This window comes from Homo sapiens, chromosome 3, assembly GCF_000001405.40.
Source record: "Homo sapiens chromosome 3, GRCh38.p14 Primary Assembly".
Lineage (NCBI taxonomy): Eukaryota > Metazoa > Chordata > Mammalia > Primates > Hominidae > Homo > Homo sapiens.
Genome location: NC_000003.12, coordinates 174,895,804 through 174,922,121, shown reverse-complemented (window position 1 = coordinate 174,922,121; position 26,318 = coordinate 174,895,804). Strand labels below are relative to the sequence as shown.

Here is a 26,318-nt window from a genome sequence, read left to right as displayed (position 1 = left end):
TTTGGCCAACCTGGTCTCAAACACCTGGACTTAAGCAATCCTCCTGCCTTGGCCTCCAAACTGCTGGGATTAAGGCATGAGCCAAAATAGTTTATATTATTAATAACATAAAACCTTATACTTTGTCTCATACATATGTTTTTTTCATGACAAAACAAAAGAACAGGTACTAATAAATAAATGGCACAACTGAGAGCTCCAATCTATGTGCAAACATTCTGGGTAAAAGTATTTTCCTGCCAAATGGATTTTGCACCTTTAAAATACTAAGAAGATTTTTTTCTTTTCTTTTTCTTTTTCTTTTTTTTTTTTTTTTTGAGACGGAGTCTTGCTCTGTTGCCCAGGCCAGAGTGCAACGGCACAATCTCGGCTTACTGCAAGCTCTGCCTCCCAGATTCAAGCCATTCTCCTGCCTCAGCCTCTCAAGTAGCTGGGACTACAGCCACCCGCCACCACGCCCAGCTAATTCTGTTTTTGTATTTTTAGTAGCAATGGGGTTTCACCATGTTAGCCAGGATGGTCTCGATCTCCTGACTTGGTGATCCGCCTGCCTCGGCCTGCCAAAGTGCTGGGATTACAGGTGTGAGCCACCGCGCCAGGCCCTTAGAAGTTATTTTCTAAGTGAAATATTTTACATTAATTCTTATAATAAATTTCTGTCACATTTGAATATTTTTATACTTGTCTGGTTACTTTAAATGCTTTTAGAAGTAGAATTTGCAAAAGATTACATAATCATATAAAGGCCACGTAAAATAAAAAATAACAAAAAAATTGTATTTAAGTGATTTAGTTGTAAATTTCTATTAAGTAACTTTATTGAGCACATATTTTCAGCAAAATATTGTCTAGATATACAAGCATACCTCATTTTATTGAACTTCACTTTTTGCATTTTGCAAAACACATTGTGTTTTTTAGAAATTGAAGTTTTGTAGAAACCTCGCATCAAGCAATTCTATCAGTGCCATTTTTTTCCAATAGCATGTGCTCATTTCATAACTCTGTTTCACATTTTGGTAATTCTCACAATATTTTTAGTTTCTTCATTATTATTATATCTGTTATTGTGATCTGTAATCAGTGATCTTTGATGTTACTATTGTAATTATTTGGGACACCATGGACCATGACCATGTGAGATGGCAAACTTAATAGACAAATGCTGACCGTGTTCTGAGAGTTCTACCAATCAGCCGCTCTTCTGTTTCTCTCTCTCTCCTCAGGCCTCCTTCTCAGACACACAACTATACTGAAATTAGGACAATTAATTACATGGCTTCTACATGTTAAAGTGAAAAGAAGAGTAACATATATCTTACTTTTAAATCAAAAGCTACAGATGATTAAACTTAGTGAGGAAAGCATGTTGAAAGTCAAGGTAAGCCAAAACCCAGGCCTCTTGCACCAGTTAGCTAAGATGGGAATGCAAAGAAAAAGTTCATAAAAGAAATTAAAAGTGCCATTCCGTCGAATATAGGAATGATAGCAAAGCAAAACCACCGTATTGCTGACATGGAGAAAGTTTTAGTGGTATGAATGGAAGGATAAAGCAGCCACAGCATTCCCTTAGTCCAAATCCTAATTAAGAGCAAGATCTCAAAACTCTTCGGTTCTATGAAGGCTGAGACAGGTGAGGAAGATACAGAAGAAAAGCTGGAAGCTAGTAGAGGTTAGCTCATGAGATTTAACAAAAGAAACCATCGCTATAACATAGAAGTACAGGGTGAAGCAGCAAATGCTGATGTAGAAGCTGCAGTAAGTTATCCAGAATATCTACCTACAATAATTGATGAAGATGGCTACTCTAAACAGATTGTCAATGGAGACAAAACAGTCTTATGTTGGAAGAAGATGACATCTAGGACTTTCACAGCTAGAGAGGAGGAGTCGATGCCTGACTTCAAGGCTTGAAGAGACAGTCTGACTCTTCTGTTAGGAGCTAATGCAGCTTGTCACTTTAAGTTGAAGGCAAAGCTTATTTGCTATTCAAAAAATTCTAGGGCCCTTATGAATACTGCAAATTGAGTCTATATGTACTCTATAAAATGGAACATCAAGGCCTGAATGATAGCATACATGTTTATAGCATGGTCTACTGAATATTTCAAGCCCACTGTCGAGACCTATTGCTCAGAAAAAACTATTTATTTCAATGTATCACTGCTCATTGACGATGCATCTGGTCACCCCAAGAGGTGGAGTGGAGGTGTACAAGGAGATTAATATTGTTTCTATGGCTGCTAACACATAAGTTCTGCAGCATATGGATCAAGGAGTAATTTTGACTCCCAAGTTTTATTATTAAAGGAACACATTTCATAAAGCTGTAGCTGCCAGAGAGGGATTCCTCTGATAGATCTGGAAGAAGTAAATTGAAAACCTTTTGGAAATAATTTATCATTCTATACGCCATTAATAATATTCATGACTTACGGGAGGAGGTTAAAATATCAACATCAATTGGAGTTTGAAAGAAATTGATTCCAACCCTCATGGATGAGTTTGAGAGGTTGAGGACTTCAGTGGAGGAGATAACTTCAGATGTGGTGGAAGCAGCAAGAAAACTAAAATTAGAAATGGGGACTGAAGAGATGACTGAATTGCTCAAATCTTATGAATATACTTGAACGGATGAGAAGTTGTTATTTATGGATGAGCAAAGACAGTGGTTTCTTGAGATGGCATGTGCTCCTGGTGAAGTAAGTGAACATTGCTGAAATGACAACAAAAGATTTAGAATATTACATAAACTTAATTTATAAAGCAGTAGCAAGATTTCAGAAGATTAACTCCAATTTTGAAAGACGTTCTACTGTGGGTAAAATGCTATTCAATAGCATTGCATTTTACAGAGAAATATTTTGTAAAAGGAAGTCAATGAATGTGGCAATCTTTATTGTTTTAAGAAATTGCCACAAGCAGCCCAACCTTCAGCAATCACCACCACGATCAGTCAGAAGCCATCAACGCCAAGGCCAGATCCCCCATCTGCAAAAATATTACAACTTGCTGAAGTTGTAATACTGCTAGGATTTTTTAGCAATAAAATATTTTTAAATTAAAATATGTACATTTTAGACACAATGATATTGTACCCTAATAGGCTGTAGTAGATTGTAATCATAACATTTATATGCACCGAGAAACCAAAAATTTCATGACTTGCTTTATTGTAATATTTGCTTTATTCTAGTGGTCCCGATCTGAACATCAATATTAAATTGCCAGATAGGGTCTGTGGTGTATTATAAAAGTGGCCATAATTCTTTATTCTTTCTTTGATCCAAACACTTTGCAATGCAACTCATGGTTACTCTCATCAAGTGGTAGAGTTTATTTCATACTCCCTGCATCTGGACTGGTTTTGTGACTTCTGTGACCAAAAGGACACAAACAGAATCATTAGTGTGCTAGTTCTGAAACGACTTTTGTGCTTCTTTTCACTCTTATGGGCCCCCCTTCTTGGCCATGGGAGCAACCCTGAGGTAACCTGTTCAGTGGAAGAGAGCTCAATTGTCCCAGCTGAGGCCATCTTAAAGTAAACCTCAGCCAATCAACCGCCAGATCCTTGATCAGCGCAATCACCTAGATGATCCACAAAACTGAGTACAGATGCACAAGTGAGCTTAGCTGAGCTGCAGGCTAGTGAGCAGTAATAAATCCTTACCATTTTAAGTCAGTGAGTTTTGAGGTGGTTTCTCATACAATAGCTAATACAGGGATTCGGTTTTTTTCCATTTTTTACAGAAAAAGTTAGAGTCTTCAAGTTTGCACCAAGAGTAAGCAGAGGGGCTAATATCCCACTGATACACTGACTCCAAAATATATTTTTTTATAGTATGCACTACTGTTTTCCAAAATCTAGTGTGTTATTTTGTTTCTGTAGGCATACTAAATAACCTCCCTAAACTCAACTTATAAAATTATTAGATGCAATTACAAGTGAATATTCTGAATAAGTACTGATATGTTTTCATAATCAGCCCAAAAGCATCCTCATCATATACTACTTTTCTAAGATGGAATCAAATATGCTACATAGTAAAAATTATTAAGTATTGCAGTGGATGTTTCTAAACATGTCTTATATTTTTAAAAAGAACATTTTATTTTCATCATAAATATTTAATATGAATCGTATACTATAATACACTTCTACAAACATTCTTGAAAATCTTTAACACTATTTTCAGTTTTAAAATATACAAAGTAAATTATCAGTCAAGCTTAGAAAATTATGACGAAAATTAGAAAATTGTGATGAAAATGATCTTTATTTCAACAGTCTGACATGCACAAATATCTGTGGGGCCAGGTTGAAGTTAATGATTTTCTCTCTTTTTAATTCCCTAAAATTGGTGGCTCAAAAAAGACAAAAAAAAAAATAACAAATAGATCTAAAACAAATGAAAGTGAGACTAAAATTCAATTTTAACTAAACCATAAAGGTTTCAAATAATTCATCTCATTTGACCTAGAAAAGACTTTCCAGGTAATTAATAAACAACTTGAAATGGGCAAGATAATAGTGTGTCTCTAACCAAGGTTCTTTTGTGCTACAGGTATTCAAGTAAATAATAGTATTCAGCAGATTCTGAAATGAAATCCAGAGGATATTTTCTGGACCACATGTTACTACAATTAAGGAATATCATAAACAAAATAAAAGCTAAAGTTACACTACATTTATACTCAGTTTCAGGTCTTTGTTCAATGTCATTCAATTAAAGTCGTGACCAAGCATTCTGAATGTACATTTTTGCCATAAAATGTATAATGCATTTTAAGCACAGTAATCACAATGCAAATGTGCTGTCTTTGAATTGTTTCATCAACAGGTTCTTGAACAAATTCATGATCAGTTAAGAATTGGAAATGAAGGATCATTGTAGTAACTTTTTTTTCAATTGACTATGGGAAAATTCAGTTAAACCATTTGTGTTTACAAATCTTCTTTGCTCCTACTATAGACTGTTATTAATTTACACTTTAAAATCGGAATTGCTGAAACAAAGTTAAATCAAATTCTTAATTTTAAAAGAGCTCTCAGCATCTAACAAATAAAGTTTCCAATGAGAATTACAGTCTGAAACGCTTTACCACCAGGTGTACCAAGGATGATGAACAGGCAGAAATAGTGCTAAAAACATAATGTATGAAATCTAGTAGAGATAATGACACTAGATGCTATATATTAATCACTCTGAAAATATTTTGCACTTTAAATCTCTTTTTTAAGTAATTTAATTTTTTATTTCAATAGTTTTTGGGGTACAAGTAGTTTCTGGTTACATGGATAAGTTTTTTAGTGGTGATTTCAGAGATTTTAGTACACCCATCACTTGAGCAGTATACACTATACACAGTGTGTAGTCTTTTATCCCCCACCCTTTTCCCAGTCTCCTCATCAAGTCCCCAAAGTCCATTATATCACTCTTATGCCTCTGTGTCCTCATAGCTTAGCTCCCACTTATATGTGAGGACATATAATATTTGGTTTTCCATTCCTGGGTTACTTCACTTAGAATAATGGCCTCTAGCTCCATCCAAGTTGCTGAAAAAGACATTATTTCATTTCTTTTGATGTTTGATAGTATTCCATGGTGTATATATGCTACATTTTCCATATCCACTCATTGGTCAATGAGCATTTAGATTGGTTCCCTATCTTTGCAATTGTGAATTGTGCTGCTATAAACATGTGTGTGCATGTGTCTTTTTCATATAGTGACTTATTTTCCTTTGGGTAGATACCCAGGAGTGAGATTACTGGACTGAATGGTAGTTCTACTTTTAGTTCCTATTAAGGAATTTCCATACTGTTTTCCACAGTGGTTGTACTAATTTACATTCCCACCACAGTATTAATGTGTTCCCTTTTCACCACATCCACACCAACATCTGTTGTTTTTGACTTTTTAATTATGGCCGTTCTTGCAGGAGTAAGGTGGTATCTCATCATGGTTTTAATTTGTATTTCCATGATTAGCGATGTTGAGCATTTTTTTATGTTTGTTGGCTGTTTGTATACCTTCTTTTAAGAAAGGTATATTCATGTCCTTTGCCCATATTTTTCATGGGATTACTTTCTTGCTGATTTGTTTCAGTCCCTTGTAGATTCTGGACACTAGTCTTTTATCAGATGCATAGTTTGTGAATATTTCCTTCCAACACGTGGGTTGCCTGTTTACTCTGCTGATTATTTCTTTTGCTGTGCAGAAGCTTTTTAGTTTGGTTAGGTCCCATTTATCTAATTTTGTTTTTGTTGCATTTGCTTTTGTAGTCTTAGCCATGAATTATTTACCTAAGCCAATGTCCAGAAGAGTTTTCCTGCACTTTTTCAAATGAAATATAATGAATAGTATTTAATATACAATTTAACCACAAGGCTGTAAGATTGATTGGGTGAAAATTAGCTTACGCTTTTTTTCCTAAAATTATTAAAGTATCATATGATAAAATTCAATTTTTAAATGTAAATAACTGACTTATTTTGTTTTCCTCTCAATTTCTCTAATAAATATAATAAATAAATCTGAATATAACATTTTTAAACAAAATACACCTTGAACCTCTAACATATCCATCAATAGAATGAGTCTTAGAACCAGAGAACATGGGCTCAAAACCTGTCTCTACCACTGATAATAGTTCTATGAAGTTGTCCTTACCATAAAGTTGGGAAAGCTGGGTCTAGAAAGATATCTAATGTTCCATTGTCAAACTCTGTTCATTGACAGGGAGGAGACAGCAACTTCAGTATGTCTAATTACAAAGCCTAGATCTTAACCACTAAGCCATGATGATTTAACATGGGTAATCTCAAACACTGTCAAAATGAGCTTTATCACTGAGATAACACAGAAGACAATATGACACCTCCTCTGCTGCCATCCCTCAAAATGCACCTCCCCACCCACACTCATATGAAATAATCTATCCAATTGACCATGAAAAATGTTTTCTAAGCTTTACAATTAAACCATTTGTGTTTAAAAATCTTTCTGTTGTAATAATTAGTGGGCAATTAGATACTAGTTTTCCAACATTGTATTATTTTCTAGAACTCTTAGAACCTGTCCAGAATAGAGACTTTGTAGAATTAAACTGTAGTATAACTTTTTAAATTTAAGTCTATCAAGTAAAATAAAAATCTGTGAAATCCCAGCCTTTTCATCAAAACTTGTACACTAAAGCATCCAAAAATGAAAAGATAATTCTAAGATTGTATTAGATGTACCTGATATTTTACCTTTCCTCCCTTATTGAGTTTGAAACCCCTGACACTCAGCTACAAAGACTCTGGTCATCAAATTTGTTTTGTCTCCAAACTCCTTTCTGACTGCAGATATTGATCTTCCAATAAATTAATCTTTAATAAAATTGCATTACAATGTCTTTTGAGGTTTATTATAATGAATTATATCTATATTTGAAAATTTTCCTTTCTAAATAAATGTCTGTGATTATTGAGAAAATGTACATTTATTTACTACCTGTTCTAACTGATAGATTATGTCTGATATTTGATATCCATTATTGCCTTTTATTCTTACCATGACAATAGCATTAGTCTAACTTTACTTATAGGAAAATGGGGCTCAAATAAGTAATTTACTCAAAGTCTAAAACTAGAGAAATTCAAACTTACAGATTCAGATCTATCGACTTCCCAAGTCCATACCCTCTGTACCCCATATGATACTAAATATTCATTATCTAATGTGATTTTTAGTTGCAATAAAATATAAAGCCAGGCCGGGCATGGTGGCTCACACCTGTAATCCTAGCACTTTGGGAGGCAGAGGTGGGTGGATCACCAGAGGTCAAAAGTTTGAGACCAGCCTGGCCAACATGGTGAAACCCTCTCTCCACTAAAAATACAAAAATTAGCCTGATGTGGTGGTGGGTGCCTGTAATCCCAACTACTCGGGAGGCTGAGGCAGGAGAATCACTTGAACACTGGAGGCAGAGGTTGCAGTGAGCCGAGATCACACCACCACACTCCAGCCTGGGTAACAGAGTGAGACTCCGTCTCTAATTAAAAAAAAAAAAGAAAAGAAAAGGAATATATATATATAAAACCAAAAAGGTGTACCTTGGAAATGAAATACATAATCTCCTGCTTATAGAGATTATAAAATTATATTTAAAACTAATTCTAGAATTTTGTTTTTCTTAGGCTGGGACTCATAAATCAACTCCTTCAGTTCTTCAAACCACCCCATTAGATAAGACTAACATTTTCTAATTATATTTTTATTGTATTGGGACATATTAAGAATAGTAATGATAATTTAAAATTTTCAATACACAAAATGATTTTTCATTAATTTGGTACCAAAAAATTAACTTGATCAGCAGATATAGAGAAAGAACAGAAAGGATAAAATATTTATTGAGTGCCCATTACAGCGCAATATAGTACTTCATTTGGTTTAATTTGCCAGCAATAACCAAATCGGTAAAATAATTATTTATCCCTTTTTTTCCAGAGGAGATTGCAAGTTTGAGAGCTGTAAACTGATTTGCCTGGTGACACCACTAATGAGTAGCCTGAGGTGGAGGCAACTGCCCCCAAAGCCCACTGCCACAACCTAGAGCCTCTATAGTAGTCCAGGTATCTTGTGAATGCATGTTACTCATTAATCAGACACTCAGGCACAAGACTGAGGCAGCAGCAACAAAAGACAAATTAACAGTAAACACGGTTTTTCCTTCACAGTGTAGTCAGAGTGAACCATCTGTCTTGAAGCCCTGTTTGCAAAGGAAAATAGTGAGGGATGAACCTGTGACACCTAAATAAGCCACTAGAATACTTGCAGGTGACAACACTGCCATGACAGCTGAGACATGTTTTCATTAAAGAAGGGTTTAGCAATTATGTAAACCCTTCAAACTTGTCTTACTAGTTGGTAAGACAAGTCGAAAATAATTTATAGGGAAAGTTCTACCAAAACTTTTTTCATACCAATAAGTCATAATACTATATTTTATCCAGTCTGTCATTAATTGTAATATGTATTGCAGGACACTTTAAAATGTGAAAATATGCCCAAAGGCAATTTTGAGGTACTGTCACTTGGAAGATTCATCTTTATTTCAGGGATATTAAAATGTGGAAATATGTGTATTTTAGAAACCATGAAATATAGATATCATCAATGTCTTTTAATGTAGAAATACATTAGGGCACTTTGAAAGCAAACATAATGACTAGTTTATCATGTTCAAATCATTAGTATCTAATTCCAAATATTTTCATAAATAATCCTGCCAGCAAAATGATGAGAGATTAATGATGCCACAATACAGGGAAGCCCCAGGGAATTATAGCAACAGGAAAATATCAATATATAATTCTAAATTTGTGCTGATCATGAAACAGACCATTGCCAACAATTAACCTTGTCTTATTTTATTCTATCTAGAAATTTTCCATCCTGTGCTTCATTCTTAGGAACATTGAAAGCCATTAAGTTGCATAAATTAATCAGGGGAAAAAGGCTGCGAAAGCTAGAAAAGGAGGGGTAAATATGACTTTATCCATGTACGTTAAATTGCTCAAGAAACAAATCAGATTGAAAACAGAAACACCTTTTAGCTGACCACATTTTGGTTACCTAGGATTCCAATGAAACATTTAGCTATTGCAGCCTTAGGGTGTCCATGTACTGACGATTTACAAACGTTTTCTTCCCCTAATTTGTTCTGCTATTCCTAAGGAGGGGGAGAAAAACAGTTACCTCAGCAACTGCAAGGTTACACTTTATGCTGAAGTTGCAGAGCTTTTTCAAAGAAAAAAAAAAATTTAAAACATGGATCCATGTTGACATTCCATCTTCCTTAGGTGATGACTTTAGTAGTCAGGTTGAGAACAGCATGCAAACACCTATATCTTGTTGCTGCCCCACCCCCAATGACAGCATTCTGCACTGATTGTCTTCATTTCTTTTTTTCTTTTATGGAAAATGAGAGAACTACCAATATCAAATATAGGTATAAAGAAATTGTCAGAGAGAGGCTACAGAGAGTATAGTTCATCACAGCCGACCTTCTTTATTTCTGTGAGAAGAGAAATTGGTGGACAATTGGCAACTGTTATAATGGGAAAATAAACATCCTGTCAACTGTCAGTGGTTAAAAGGTCAATTTCCAGCCCTAGTGGAAGACAGCTATAAGTCTGTCTGCGGGAGAATGGATATTTCAGTAAGTACTAAGTTAAAAACACATTTTAACAACTTAATTCCAAAATCGCTCTAAAGGCTGTGGTTCTTGCCGCTTACATACTTGAGGCTACATCGTAAAGGGCACTTGTCAGATGTTGGCATGTGACTTCAGCAATGTCTGAGATATTACCAGTTTAAAAAAGGAACTCAGGAACAAGGGAAACAGACAGGAATATAAGGTGTACTAGGGCTCCTTTCATTAAAAATGACTGAAACCCAAATTGAAGTAGCTTAGCAATAAAAATGAATGTAAACTCTTGTGACTTTTGGGCTTTCCCAAACTCCCAGCTCCTTCTCAATGCTGGGAGAAGTCTTGCTCTGCCTATATTGCCCCTCCCTAAACCCAGCTTGCAATTTGTAGCAGGCAGTGCACTGGGGCACTCTTACCAGTCACCTCTTTCATTATCCATCTTCTAGCAATCACTTCCATCCACTGCCTCATGCCAATGTCGAGTGCCATTGCTTCAAATGCTGTATACAGTTTTTACTTGTTTCTGGAAAGAGGGTAAATCCAGTCCTTGATATTTTAACCAAATGCACAAATATTTTTTCTTCCACATTTAATTCTACAAATATATTTGATTGACTGTCCTACCCTTATGAATCAGTCACTATGTCAAAATGAAGCGGACTATACAATTAGCAAGAACCTAGTCTCATATCCAAACCTGTGGACCTATGTGTTCTATTGCCAGTATCAGGGAGAAAGAGTAAAAGCATACTCCAGACCACCAAAACTAATAGCTATCAGAATCCACTTCAGAAAATACGTTCTTATCTTAAAAAAGGACTTTTGGGGGATGGCAATTCCATTGCACTGATTTGTGGTTTAGTGCATCAAGCATTCCTCAGGCACATTCGGTGTGCCAGGTAAGGTGGTGGCCCCTGAGAACCGTGAGATAAACAAGATGCAAGTGCAGCCTGGAAGCTCATATTCCAGAGTTTCCCTTTCGCCCTGCTTGTCAGTTTTGCGAAAGCATTCACAGCCCCTACCTCTTCTGTTCACCTCTCCCGTTCTAGGCAATAGTCATGGGATAGCTTTGGCCTAAAATGGTACATTATTAATTTGGGGCCCATATTTCAGATGTCACATTTTAAAGATGAAGAAACAAGGGAAGAGGAGGGTCAAGTCACATGTCACAGGTGAAGTGGCCATCAATTAACAAACTTGATATTGTTGAAGTGTTGAATATGACTAATATGGTGTGTACTGAGGCCCCTCACTCCCCACTGCTCGTCCCACTATTCCACAGAGCGTCATCCTGCCTGGACTGCAGGACTGGATATTAACTCCTACCTGCATATGTAAAATTAACTCCTACCTTTCCTGCTATTTTAAAACCAAATAAATTACCTCACCATTCACTAAATAAAACTCACTATTTTCTTATGTTTACTGCTTATTCCTCAGTTCCCACCCCCAAAGTCAAGGAGTACTATTCTCTTTTCCTTAGCTAACTCATCAGACCCACATTTAATAAACTGGAAAATTTTTTATTAAATAATGTTGAGTGGAAAAAAGGATAACAAATTTCTATGTAAAAAGTGATGCAGTTATTTTAAAATATATAGTTATACACACACACAAAGACTTTAAGTTAGCATGCCAAAATATTAGTAATTTTTGAAAAATCTGGATTGTTAATTTATGGGTAATGTTTACTTTACTCTTCACACTTTTTTGTTTCTAACCTTCTGACGATCTCTATGTGATATATATATATGTATATAAACTATTAAAATAAAGTTATTCTTAAAGCCAATCTCTAAAAAATCAACTACATTCTGATTAAAATCTCTGATGAACACAATTTAGATAAAATTATATTTTATTTGTGCTACAGTATTGCAGAAAGCATTGCAAATACAATACATTGCATATGTGATTCTTTATAATCTCTATTTGAATTATATGACACTTGAAGGCAGAAAATGTATATTTTAAAAAATATCTTCTAATACTTAACTTGTGTAGTTAAATATATTAACCAAATGTTACAAATGTTACAATTGTGCATTTCTTGCCTGGGAATCCTAAAGGAAATCGAAATAATAAAAACAGCTGACAATTATGACATTCATACTATGTGCTAGGTTCTGTTACAGATAGTTTTACAGCTTCTATCTCATTTAATCCTCAGAATAGTCCTTTTAGAGTTCGTTTTATACATGAAGAAACTCAAAAGTAGGAAGAGATCAAATTATCTAAAGTGCCATAGCTAGAACGTGACAGAGCCAGTATTTGAAACCAAGTAGGTAACCCCACAGTCTGTGCACTAACCCACCACACAATCCATATTTTGAATGTTTCAACAATATTAGAAATCTTGGAGTAGGGATAATGATATAAAGCAGGGATTTGTTAATACAGATTGTTTATCATGATTTCCTCATTACTAGTATCTACCTCAAAGGACTATTTTAACAGTTAAATATATGATCATGAGTTTGCACAAGTGTCTGGTGTGTATAGAGTGCTCTATAATTGTTTTTTGAGATGGAATTTTGCTCTTGTTGCCCAGGCTGGAGTGCAATGGCACTGTCTTGGCTCATGGCGACCTCTGTCTCCCGGGATTCAAGCAATTCTCCTGTCTCAGCCTTCCAAGTAGCTGGGATTACAGGCACCCGTCACCATGCCAGGATAATTTTTGTATTTTTAGTAGAGACGGTATATCACCATGTTGGCCAGGCTGGTCTTGAACTCCTGACCTCAGGTGAGGTGATCCGCCTGCCTGGGTCTCCCAAACTCCTGGGATTACAGGTGTGAGCCACCGTGCCTAGCCTATAAATTTAGCTAATACTGTTACATGCATATTTTAGCTACTGTGAATTCAGTTAAGATGAAATAGCTACACAACTAAGGAGATCTTTTTTTTTTTTTCTGAGTATGATAAACTAAGGACATGCCTTAAGTCTAAGAAAATCTGTTTACTGCAGGCTTTTCTGCACAAATTTTCCTTTATCATCAAGGTTGCTATAGCCATCCCTCTTTCGGATTCCTTTTCTTCTTTAAAATTAGAGGCTTTGCTTTACACTGTTATTTTTAAATGGCTGGATACCTGCCATAGATCTAATAATTGGTTGTAAAAATCCAGACAAACATCAATTTTTAATTCTTAATTTTTAATCTTGTTTGAAACAAACATGTAAACTAAAATAAAAACTTAATAAAGCCAGGTTCAAATCTTGCCTGTTTTAGTATATAAGTCAAATTTTTATTAAATTAACTTCAGATCCTATTAATTATGAAAGCAAGAGGTTATATTTCTAATGAATACTAAGATCTTATTAGAAATTCCTTCTCCATCACTTTGTTTTTCTCTTCATTAGATATACCCGCACAAATGACCTAAAATTCAACCCACTTTGAAAATAAATTTTCAAGGCTTAGTGAAAAAAGCCTAATTTCTGTAGCCACTGGCCTGTTTCTAGAGCCATCGTTGACTGATGGCTTATAAAGCCTTTTTATACAGCACTGACATTTTAAAGATACTGGCCAGTCTGAACTTTCCATCTGGCGTGCTTGATTTCCTTTGTCCCACTTTCCCATAGTGACTTATTCTGTCCTTGAGCTCTAAAACTACTTTGATTTAATTTAGGCCTGGGGGTGTGAAGACATGGTGAAATTTATTTAAACAAGAGACGATAGTAATGCCTCCAACAGTGCATAGTAATAGGAAAGCAAATAACTGACTTCCTGGCATTTATTTGTGTAATAACTTCACCACCAAGTGCAACCAGAGAGGTATTCCAGAACTTTCCATGCAATTACATAAAACTAGCAAGAGCTAGTCAGCACTTGTAAAATCAAGTGGGAGATAAAGGAAATTATTTTATCTCAGGCCAAAAAAAAAAAAAAAAAAAAAAACCAACTTCTCTCTTTCGAAAAGAGATAATTGATATAAATAAGAAATATGTTACTTAATGCTGGAAAGCAACTGATACTTTCTAAAGTACACATTATGTTGTTAAATCTTCATTCATAATAACACTGACATGAAATAGTTAATTCTGAGTCTTGCACCTAGTCAACTATTAAAGACCTGGCTCTTTAGGCAGGGAACTTTAGTGCCTCTGTCTTAATCTTCATTTTGTTTGTTCACTTAGAAATGAGCCAAACTCCCATCTATACACAATAGATCCACAATACAATCTGAATTATGTTACTAATGAACACCACCAATGTTTTGCTTTTGAACATTGGTAGTACAACAACTTTGTGATGTCATCATAGAAAAGGAAGACACTAGGGACTCGATAAAATGTTATTTAGTAGTAAGAAATAGTCACAGATAAGTTTACCTTTTAGGGACGTGGTTTTTCTCTAATCTCAATGTTTTTTGTAACATTCCTCTATAGTATACAGAGCCATGAGAAATTTGATAGCAGTTTTGAAATATTAGTACAAATGAACTATCCCATTTTGGAATTTATACATGAAAATGTTCAAGACCTGGGCTACATATCACCCATCTCTCAAAACACTTCTTAGCATCTTCAACCACCCAGTAAATTTATGATCAAGGAATCAAATGAGCACTGGAAAAGAGTCATCAGATCTCAGTTCAAGCAACAGCTCCATCTTGGGTAATTTGCTGTATCTTTTTTTTCTTCTTCTTTTTTTAGATCTAAGATTACTCATCCATAAAACAAAAGGGCTGATCTCCAGAATATTTAAGATACATTCCAGTGCTAGTATTCTGTGATGCAATGATTTTGATCTAAGTACTAGAAAGGTAATTCTGCTGAGAAAGAGTTTGATTAATTATCAGATCAAATATAAATGAGTTTGCAGTTTCAATTTGGATTAAATGACAAAGATGGTCTAGGGGAGGCCTGATTTACTAGGCACAAAGAGTTATGAGTTATCTGTGAAATTTTTTACTATTAATAACCATCTGATTTTTAAAAAGGATTTGAAGTAATTTAATATAAAACTCACCTGTGATAAATAAAATTATATAAGAAGAAAGATTAGTGATCACATAAGAAAAATTTTGATATGAGAATCTGAGGTGAGGTGATTAATGAAGCTCTTGGTTTCTGTATTGTTATCTATTGCTACATAACAAATTATTCTAAAACTTTACAACTTAAAACATCAAACAAGTTATTTCACATTTTCTGTTGGTTAGAAATTGGGGGTTGGTATAGCTGGGAGCTTCTGGATCAAGGTTTCTCATGAAGTTGCAGTTGGGGAATTGTTGGAAGCTGTGGTCTTATATGAAGCATGACTGAGTTTGATTCTGCTTCTAAGCCCACTCACATGCTTGTTGGCAAGATTCAGTTCTTTGCAGGCTATTGGAAACAGCATCTCAGTTCCTCACTAGCTGCTAACCAGAGGCTTTCTTCAAATCCTTGCCATGTAGGCCTATCCAGAGGGTACTTTACAACATACACTTGACTTCCCTTGGAACAAGTGAGAGAGATCACCCATGATGAAAGTCACAGTCTTTTCAAAACTTAATCTCAGAAGTGACATTCAATCAATCATTCTGTATTCTATTAGTCAGAGGCAAGTAGTAATCCAACTGATACTCAAGGCAGGGGTATTCCAAAGGGTATGTAACCAAGAAGCAGGGATATTAGAGGTTGCCTACCACAGTTCCATACTGTCGAAGCAAAAAGAGATGAAGATGCTGATTGCATGTTTCTTCTTACATTAAAAAGATTCATTATTTCAAGAAACCTTCTTGTTTCTTTTATAGTTCTAAAAGAATGTTTGATATGAATTGGCATGTAAAGATCATTGAGAAATATAATGTACAATGTCCTGAACAGTTTGTTTTGTACAATATACAGAAATGCACTTCATGGTTATATTGTAGTATTAAACTGTGAATGAGGTTAATGCTGATTTCTAGGTATTCAATATGATAAAGAATCGAGAAAAAAATGAAGAATTAATGTATCAGTGTTTTTCAAAACTTTAGCATGCTTAACATTACCTGTGTGTAAACAAAGATTAATATCCAGGTGCAACTCAGTTGTACTAAATCAAATCTTGAGTGATGGGCATAGATTTCTTACTTTATAATAAAACCCCAGATAATTTTGATGTCTCAGATCCAGAAAACACATTTCCTTAGATGGCCTCTCTCAGAAGTCGGTTGCCCCTTCTACATCAGATACCACAATAGAGATTTATCCTGTCTGTCTCAGGTATATTAATCAACTTCTTATACTCTCCCACAAAACAGTGTCAGTAAAATAAAAGATTAGAATGTGGCAGACTGAGATAAAATGTTTTGCTTTGTTAAATGGAAGAAATAAAAGAATGAAGCAAGAATTACAGAATTACATATTTGAGTTACATGTTTTTATTTTTAAAGTTTTACTTGCCCTAATGCTTATAGTTTCCTGTGTCTTATGAAAAAGACTTATCCACAAATACAGTTTAATGCATGCTGCCATTTTACCAAACTGATGCCAATTTAACTTTACGAATATGCTACTGAAAATACATGAATTGTGAAACTTATGATCAACTTTATAAAATTCTTAATTGTAACTATTTTAGAGGCGGGGATAGCCAGAAAAGTGACATCCCTCAACAAATTCTATTCCAAATTAAGCAATATATGATTGATTGCTTGTGCTGCAGCTCAGAACAATGAGCATTTAAATACTAAGTTAAATGATACAACACACGCATAATCATTGAATAGGTTTCGATCTTGTCAGCTATATATTAATAAATCATTAGAATGTGAAAAAATTAGATAGCTTTATGGTAAAGCCAGAATTAAATACAATGTAGCAAATTTGAAATACTGATCATTACGATTTATATTTTTAAATATATAAAAATTTTACCAGTGGACTACTTCTAAACTCTGTCATTCTAGAATAAGAAAACTGCTATAGAATTACTAATTATGTGACAGCTTTAAAAATAACAATACAGCAATCCCATAAGAAAGATCAAAAAAGTTTTAATGCTATGTTTATGACTTACACTGAATTTAGATTATTTAATACTGAAACTACCTCTATCCCACATAATGCAGAAAAAAAATGCTTAATAATTTAAAAGAAATTCACCAAATACACATGAAAACATACCGAGCATCAAAATTGGTGATGTAACTATTTCACAAGTTGAGTGAATTATTGCCTCAAGCTATAAAGAGTATGAGAACAACAAAATAAAATTAATGGTAGCTCCAGCTGTTAACATAAACAGAAGTAGGATGCTCTTTCATTTGTAAAAGGATATGAAACTTATGTTTTCTGGTCTCTAGCAGGGAAAGCATGCAAAATTTTCTCCCACTTAAGTATTTACAATCTATTACTTTTACTATTATTTGATTGTTAGTATGTTCTTGATGTTTTGGGCATTAGTAGACTTTCTGTGCAATTAGCAAAACAATTTAGAATTGCTAGTAATGTATAGGAACTTTTGATTACACAGGAAATGTGTTGATTTTGGTGTTTACTTGCTTCATAGACTATGCCAAATCGTAGAATGCCAAACTTTCAAGGCACTTTCCATCTGATAAATAAAGGTGATTTAACTACTTCATTGGCAGATATACAGAACGTATAAACATCTAATTCATCAGAACTCAGATTCTTAATAAGTTGGTAACATATCACACAATGTAACATTCTAACACTTTAACATTATCATAATTATTCAACACAAACCTTTACTGAGTCCAGATTTTGGCTCTTGGCAACACTAAGATGAGTAAGACACAGATTGGCCCCTTACTGATCCCAAATAAGGTGGATTGTATATGTTGCATTACTCTAGGAGACTGGTTTAAATTAGAGATGTTTAACTACATATATCCATATCTATATAACTATATATCTCTGTATATCTATAAGCTCAGAGATATAGATATATATCTAGAAACTCAAATAGATACAGATATAGATATAGATATAGATATAGAAATAGATATAGATATAGATATAGATATAGATATTCCTTTCTGGCCCTGCGAAGAATATCCTTTCCAGAGCCAGAAAGGATTTTAGGACACACACCAAAACATATTTATAAAAAAGTACATTTATAGGTGATGATGATGATGATAAAAATGACTGTGAAAAAGTTTTAATTTTCTTAATCAGTCACTACTTAATCTCATTACCTGAAAACTTCCCGTGCAAATATATTCAACAATATCCAGGGAACACTGCATCCTTCCAGCTAGTAGTGATTTTGGAATAATACCCATGATTTTTGTTTTTACCAGTGAATTGCATGCTTGTCAAAATCAATTGTATTTATTCTCAAAACATTCATATGCCAGTTAAATTTAATATTGTAATTATGTAACTTAATTTTTACAAATACTACTACTAAAAGATAGATACAAAGAAAAGGAGTTGTATCTATTAAGTCAAAACCTTTAGAATGACTCAGTAAAGACTAGTGAGTAAAAGGTGGGATTGACAAACACCATTGGTTCACTAACCTATCACCCATTTCCAGGCCCTTCTCCATTCCAAGCCTTCCTTATAAGGGCAGAGTAAGCTAAAACACTAGCAAATTAATAAATTTCTAAAATGTTAAGTGAGGTAATGTGCATACAAGCATTTTGAACACTTTAAAACACTACAGATTATTGCGTCTTCTTATTACTATAAAATCATTTCTGTTGGTGCCTATAAAAACAATTAAGTAGTATTTCTTGGCTAATATCTAATGTATTCAAATACTGGAACTTAGAAATGAAGATCTTAGCTCAACTCTTCAGTTTTACCATAAGTCTGGTCTAAATTCCTGCAGGGATGGCATAAAGGCATTTGCTTTTACATTCTATTAAAACAACAGTTACCTTATGAATATAGTGGCTATTTGGGGGGGAAAACTTGAGAAATTAGAAATAGCTTCTTATATTAAGAATACAACTGTCAACATATAATTTTGGCAAGTATCAGTTTTGCCCCAGGAGTATGATAAAGGTAAGACTATTTATTTATTCCTTTCACATGGTTCCTCAGCCTAAGCGCTCAATTTCTGTCCAATCTTCTTGTTTCTGGGAGAATATGTGCTAACCTCTTTCAAACATTTCCCAAGCATGTATTTCTCAGAAGCTCCATCTATATCTCAGATAATGCCTTTGGAAAAATTACCATCAGTGCCGCCCTCCTTGAGTATACTTTATCCATCAGCATACCAGAATAAAAATAATAACCTTGGAGTTGACCACAGTATTTCCAAGTCCAACTTGTTATTATTCAGTAACAAGTTTCAATAGATAAATAACTTTTGAGTTCATAATATCTCCTTGAAAATTCCAGATGTCTCTGCAGTATCTCCCTTAATATAGATATTTAACCTCTATTAATAGAACCTAGATAATGTTTACTTTTTTGGTTCTCATATTCTTTCATGTACATCTTTAATCACGCGATTGTCTTTTTGAGTTATTTTAGAGTCTGAATTCAAATGATTAGTTGCAACTTATTTTAGTTAAACCCCACCCCCCTTTCTTTTATGTAATAATTACATTAATAGTCACTACCGGGTGGAGAAGAGATTTACAATGAGCCAGAATCTGTTCTATAATAGGTACTTTACATACATTATTTCTAACCTGTTCTATAACACAAGGCAAGAGTTATCACCTGTTTTAGAAATTTATAAATAGAGGGTCAATGAGTTTAAGTATATGGTCAAAAAGACAGACATAGGTTATTGGATGTATCTGTTTTGCTATATAATATCAAAAGATATGATAAAGATGGGACAAAAGGGTTTAGCTATTTCTCTTAGACTTATGCTACACAAAGAGTGGTCCACAAACTAGCAGCATCAGCAACACCTGGGCGGTAGATCATGCCCTGCATCAGACCACCTCAATCAGGATCTGCATTTAAACGAGATTCCCACGTAAGTCGTGTATATATTATAGTTTTAGGGGCACTGTTTTAGAGACAAATTGCATCATTCTCTTCTCAGATAGCCACACCTTTTCCAAAATAGAGGATCATTTGAGAGAACATTTACAGTCTCTTGTTCTTCTGTAAGGAAGCTAATCCTGGGGCCATACATAAATCACAACATAAAGCCCATGCATATATGTGCAAAAATGTATTTTTCTCTTAGACTTGCCTGCATTCAAATTAGTGCTCATGATCATTGGCCCATTCCAGCAATTGTAGTTACAGATCTAAGTACACCAAATCACCCACTCACCATCCATAACCTCCAGTATTCTTTCTTTCTGACCTGACTGGAAATGGCATGTGGCAGCAAGTCCTTGGATTTTGCAGCTGGCTAGATAAAGGGCTGACTATTCAAGGTTTACTGAAAAAAAACTCAGCTTATCTTTACAAGAAGATCTTGAGGCCTAAAACTGGACTGAGAAAAGGTGATCCCATTTGGCTTCACATTAAAGCTATGTTTTCAAAGACATTTACCTGAAGCCCTGTATTTGATGAAAGATTACTAGAAGCCCAGCCCCTAATGAAGCTTACAATATCCTAAAGCCTACTTCATGTTAATCACCTTCGTATCTTTTGGTTAGGAGGGTATTAGGCCTCCTACCCACGTTCTTCCATTGCCCATAGAGACAGGGCTCATGTACTTCTCACAAGCTCCATCTATATCTCAGATAATCAATCACACAAATATTTTGGAAATGGTTGATAAATTCCCCATAGAATTATATCAGCTAAAACTACATTCCTTGATACATGTTAAAATTATTCCTTGCCACATCATTGGTAAGTCCAAACACCATCAACACTCTCTCAAACATATGTTAATGAATCACATTTTCACAACTGACACTTTTAACCCCTAGACATGTGACAAGCATGGAATCATAGATTTAAATAAATAAAATGGTCAAATTAGTTTAATTTTATCATACAGTTGGACACACTGATTCCAATTGAAAACATCCAAATATTCAAGTGTCTTTGTCTTCAACCCTCTGTCTACAAATTGATTATAGATTGATTTTTGCAAAATTATATTTTCAATGAGTAATTAAGTGATAAATTTAGGTTAAAGAGTCATGACAAAGTATAGGGGAAGGAACTCTAAAGAAGCTTACTGATATGTATTTTACTTTTACAATGGTTTTAGTGAACATTTTTCTGCTTTTAAAAAGGGCATATTTTTATCATTAAAAAAATACATGCATACAATGTTAATTTTTTTAAGTAGCCAGTTATTCTATCACAGATGTACTCTCTGTTAAAATTTAGTTATTTTTATGTTTTTTTTCTGAGGTTTGACTTATATGAGAACATAAGGTATAAAATGTTTAGATTATACTACAAATAATTTTATGGTATGTAAATAATGCTGTCTTTCATATAAAAGCTTATTTATGAATTAGAATTTTTTGTTAGGTTATCAGAAGTCTCTGATCAATATTGACATAGAATTTTAAGGATTTTTATCTATATTGCAAAACAGTCTTTCAAAATAATTGTATGAATTTACATTCACATAGAAACATGTACCTATTTCATTTATCCTAACTACCACCAGTGTACTCTATTGTTTTTATTTGCTAATTTGACAGGCAAACATGCTGTTTTATTTTTATTTAAGATTTTATTTGTTATTGATTAAAAGTATACTTAACCCCTTAATAAATCTGAATTTATTTTGGTAAAAGCATGAATTGAGATTGCATGTCTAGTATATCTACCCAATTTTGTGATTCTAACTTGTCCATTTTATCTATAATAAAAGCTAATTGTGATAGTTTATAAAATTCTAACGTTTTCACTATTCTTGTGCCAATTACCTAATATTTTAATTATTGGTGCTTTGTAAATGGTGTAATATCTCGTAGAACTGGTTCTCTCCTCAATATCTTTTCCCTTAGTTCTTTCTTTAATATTTGTGTTTTGTTTTATTTTTGTTTTGCCAAACTTCTAAACAAATATTGACTGAAATTTGGTTGAAATTAATATATAAAATAAGAGTTTTTTAAATTTTTATTTAAAGAACCTACACTTATCTTGCTAACAGTTATTTTGAAATTGTTAGCTTTTTTGTTGCTTTTTGGAATAGAACTTTTTTTTTTACTGTCAGGACTTTCAGAAATGTAGAAATGGTTGTAAATTTTGCATTTTGCTGATTTTATTGTTCTTTTCTGGCCGTGTAAGCATATGCCCTTGGAATTCATAGAAAAAAACACTGGAAATTCTTTCCCAGGAAAAATTATATTATATTGTGTTAGGCCATTCTTGCATTGCTATAAAGAAATATCCATGGCTGGGTAATGTATAAAGCAAAGAGGTGGAATTGGCTCACGGTTATGCAGGCTGTACAGGAATCACGATGCTAGTATCTGCTCAGCTTCTGGAGGGGCCCTCAGGAAACTTACATTATGGCAGAAGGCAAAGGGGAAGCAGACACATCACCTTGCCAGAGCAGAAGCAAGAGAGAGACTGTGGAGGTGCCACACACTTTTAAGCAAACAGATCTCAAGAGAACTTACTACCTGGAGGACACCACCAAGGGGAGGACTTTAAACCATTCATGAGACATTGGCCCCCATGATCCAATCACCCCTCACCAGGCCCCACCTATAACACTGGGGATTATGTTTCAACATGAGATTTGGGTGGGGCCAAATACTTAAACTGTATCATATGCAAATAATTATCTCTTATCCTTTCTCTTTCTATATATTACTCATTTCTCTTTCATGTCTTTCTTCTCTAATAAAAATTTTAAAAGATTTTTATTAATAGTGATAATAATAGCATAAAATTTAGTTAATAATAGCATCCTAGTTTAGTTCTTGCACTTTGTATGTAATGTCTTTGTAGTTTTAATGTTCGCTGAGGTTCTAGTTTGCATCTTTTTTGTAAACTGTTTTCACTTCATGATACTTCAGGAATATGTTTCCTTGCCAATAAAAAGTCTCCTTTTAAAAACTCCATAATTGTAAAATATAATATCTATACAGAAAAGTGCACAAAATAAACATGTTCGGCTGAATGATTAATGACAAGTGAACACCCATGCAACTACTACTCAAGTCAAGAAGTACAACATTGTCAGTACCAGGGAAGCCCATCCTCTGTGCTCTCTTAATCACTACTTCTTCCTCCACAAAGATACTTTCCTTGCTTTTCTTTTAGAATTTTACCATCCAGGATTTATTTCCAAAAAATACAGTTTAGTTTTATCTAATTATTGAAGGTCACATAAATGAAATTATATAATCTATGGCTCTATGAATACTTTAGTGACTGTCTTTTTTCATACATTATATAATTTTTTATTTTTATTTATTTCTTAAATTACTGTGAGTACATAGTAGATGTATAAATTTATGCAGTACCTGATATGTACTTAACACAAGCACGCAATTGGAAATAAGTACATCATGGAGAATAGCATGTCCATCTCCTCAAGCATTTATCCTTTGAGTTACAAACAATCGAATTATATTCTTCACATTATTTTAAAACATACCATTAAGTTATTATTGACTATAGTCACCCTGTTGTGCTATCAAATAGTCAGTCTTATTCATTCTATTTATTATTAATTTATTTATTATTACTTATCTATTATTATCGCATTATCTATCTACCCTCCTCCTAACCCCCCTCTACCCTTCCCAATCTCTGGTAACCAACCTTCTACTCTCTATATCATGAGTACAATTATTATGATTTTTAGGTCACACAAAGAAGTGAGAACATGTGATATTTGTCTTTCTGTACCTGGATTATTTCACTTAACATAATAATCTCCAATTCTGCCCATGTTATTGCAAATGATAAGATCTCATTCTTTTTTTCTTTTTTTTTTTTTTTTTTTTTTTTTTTTTTTGAGACGGAGTCTCGCTCTGTCACCCAGGCTGGAGTGCAGTGGCGGGATCTCGGCTCACTGCAAGCTCCGCCTCCCGGGTTCACGCCATTCTCCTGCCTCAGCCTCCCAAGTAGCTGGGACTACAGGCGCCCGCCACTACGCCCGGCTAATTTTTTGTATTTTTAGTAGAGACGGGGTTTCACCGTTTTAGCCGGGATGGTCTCGATCTCCTGACCTCGTGATCCGCCCGCCTCGGCCTCCCAAAGTGCTGGGATTACAGGCGTGAGCCACCGCGCCCGGCCGATCTCATTCTTTTTTTATGGCTGAATAGGACTCCACATTTTCTTTATCCAATCATCTGTTGATGGACACTTAGGTTGCTCCTAACTATTGTATGTAATGCTGTGACAATTATAGGAGTGCAGATATATCTTTCATACACTGATTTCCTTTATTTTGGGTATATACCCAGCAGTGAGACTGCCAGATCATACGGTAACTATATTTCTAGTTTTCTGAGGAACCTCCAAACTGTTCTCCATAGTGATTGTACTAATTTATATTCCCACCAACAATGTACAAGGGTTCCTGTTTCTCCACATCCTTGCCAGCATTTGTTATTGCCTGTCTTTTGGATATAATCCATTTTAACTGAGGTGAAATTATATCTCTAGTTTTGATTTTCACCTCTCTAATGATCAATGATGTTAGCACTTTTTTTTTTTTTACCAGTTTGCCATTTGTATGTTGTCTTTTGAAAAATATCTTTTCAAATATTTTGCCCACTTTTTGATAAGATTATTTTATTTTTTTCCTATAGAGTTGTTTGAGCTCCTTATATAATCTGGCTATTAATCCCTTGTCAGAGGGGTAATTTGTAAATATATTCTCCCATTCTATGGGTTGTCTCTTCACTTAGTTGACTGTATCATTTGCTGTGTAGAAGCTTTTTAACTTGACATGATTCAATTTGTCCATGTTTGCTTTGGTTGTCTGTGCTTCTGGGGTATTGCTCAAAAAGTCTTTCCCCAGACCAATATCCTGGAGAGTTCCACAATGTTTTCTTGTAGTAGTTTTCATAGTTTAAAGTCTTAGATTTAAGTCTTTAATCCACTTCAATTTTATTTTTGTATATGGTGAGACACAGTTTCATTTGTTTGCATATGGATATCCCAGTTTCTCAGCACCATTTATTGAAGAGACTGTCTTTACCCCAGTGCATGCTTTTGGAAACTTATCAAATATGAGTTCATTGTGGTTGTGTGGATTTGTTTCTAGGTTCTCTATTGTGTTCCATTGGTCTATGTGTCTGTTTTTATGCCAATTCCATGCTGCTTTGGTTACTATAGTTCTGTATCGTAATATGAAGTCAGGAATGTGACTCGTCCAGTTTCGTTATTTTTGCTTAAGAGAGCTTTGGCTATTCTGAGTCTTTTGTAGTTTCATATAAACCATATAAATTTTAGGATTGTTTTGTCTATTTCTGTGAAGAATGTCATTGGTATTTTGATAGGGATCACATTGAATCTGTAAAGTGCTTTGGTAGTATGGACACTTTAACAATATTGATTCTTCTAATCCATGGATAAGGAATACTTTTCCATTTTGTGGTGTCCTCTTCTATTTCCTTCATCAGTGTTTTATAATTTTAATCATAGAGATCCTTTAATTCTTTGGTTAATTCCTAGGTATTTACCTTTATGTGTGGCTATTGTAAATGGTATTACCTTTTTATTTCTTTTTAACATTGTTCATCATTGTGAACAAAATCAAAATGTATATTGATTTTTTATCCTGCAACTTGAATGAATTTTTTTTATCAGTTCTAATAATTTTCTTGTGGAGTCATTAGGTTTTTTCAAATATAAGATCATAGCATCAGCAAACAAGGATAATTTGACTTCTTCTTTTTCAGTGTGGATGTCCTTTAAATTTTTCTCTTGTCTGATTGTGCTAGCTAGGATTTCCAGTACTATGTAGAACCACAGTGGTGACAGGTGGTATTCTTGGCTTGTTCCGGTTTTAGTGGAAAGGTTTTCAGTTTTTTGTATACTAGCTGTGGGTCTGTCATATATGGCTTTTATTATGTTAAGGTATGTTTCTTCTATACCCAGTTTTTTAAGATTTTTTTTTATCATGTAACGATGTTAAATTTATCAAATGCTTTTTCAGCATCAATTGGAATAATCATATTTTTTTCTTCATTCTGTTGATATGATGTATCACAATGATTAATTTGCATATGTTGAACCATCCTTGCATCTCAGGGATAAATCCCACTTGATCATGATGAATGATCTTTCTAATGTGTTGCTGAATTCAGGTTGTAT

The 26,318-nt window shown here is 34.2% G+C and overlaps 1 protein-coding gene across 21 annotated transcripts in view; it reads right to left on the bottom strand.

Moving 5' to 3' along the window:
* NAALADL2 (N-acetylated alpha-linked acidic dipeptidase like 2) overlaps window positions 1–26,318 on the bottom strand; it is a 1,369,567-nt gene that overhangs the window by 888,427 nt on the left and 454,822 nt on the right. For 3 of the 21 annotated variants that reach the window (XM_011512612.4, XM_017006081.3, XM_011512615.4), the window contains exon 1: window positions 10,620–24,566. The exons of 17 other annotated variants lie outside the window; for them this stretch is intronic. In XM_011512612.4, coding sequence (XP_011510914.1) covers window positions 10,620–10,692 — 73 coding nt within the window. In that variant the 5' untranslated portion in view covers window positions 10,693–24,566. Of the gene's footprint in view, window positions 1–10,619; window positions 24,567–26,318 lie in introns of those variants that run through there. One more of the 21 variants, XM_011512617.4, reaches the window with a different exon arrangement.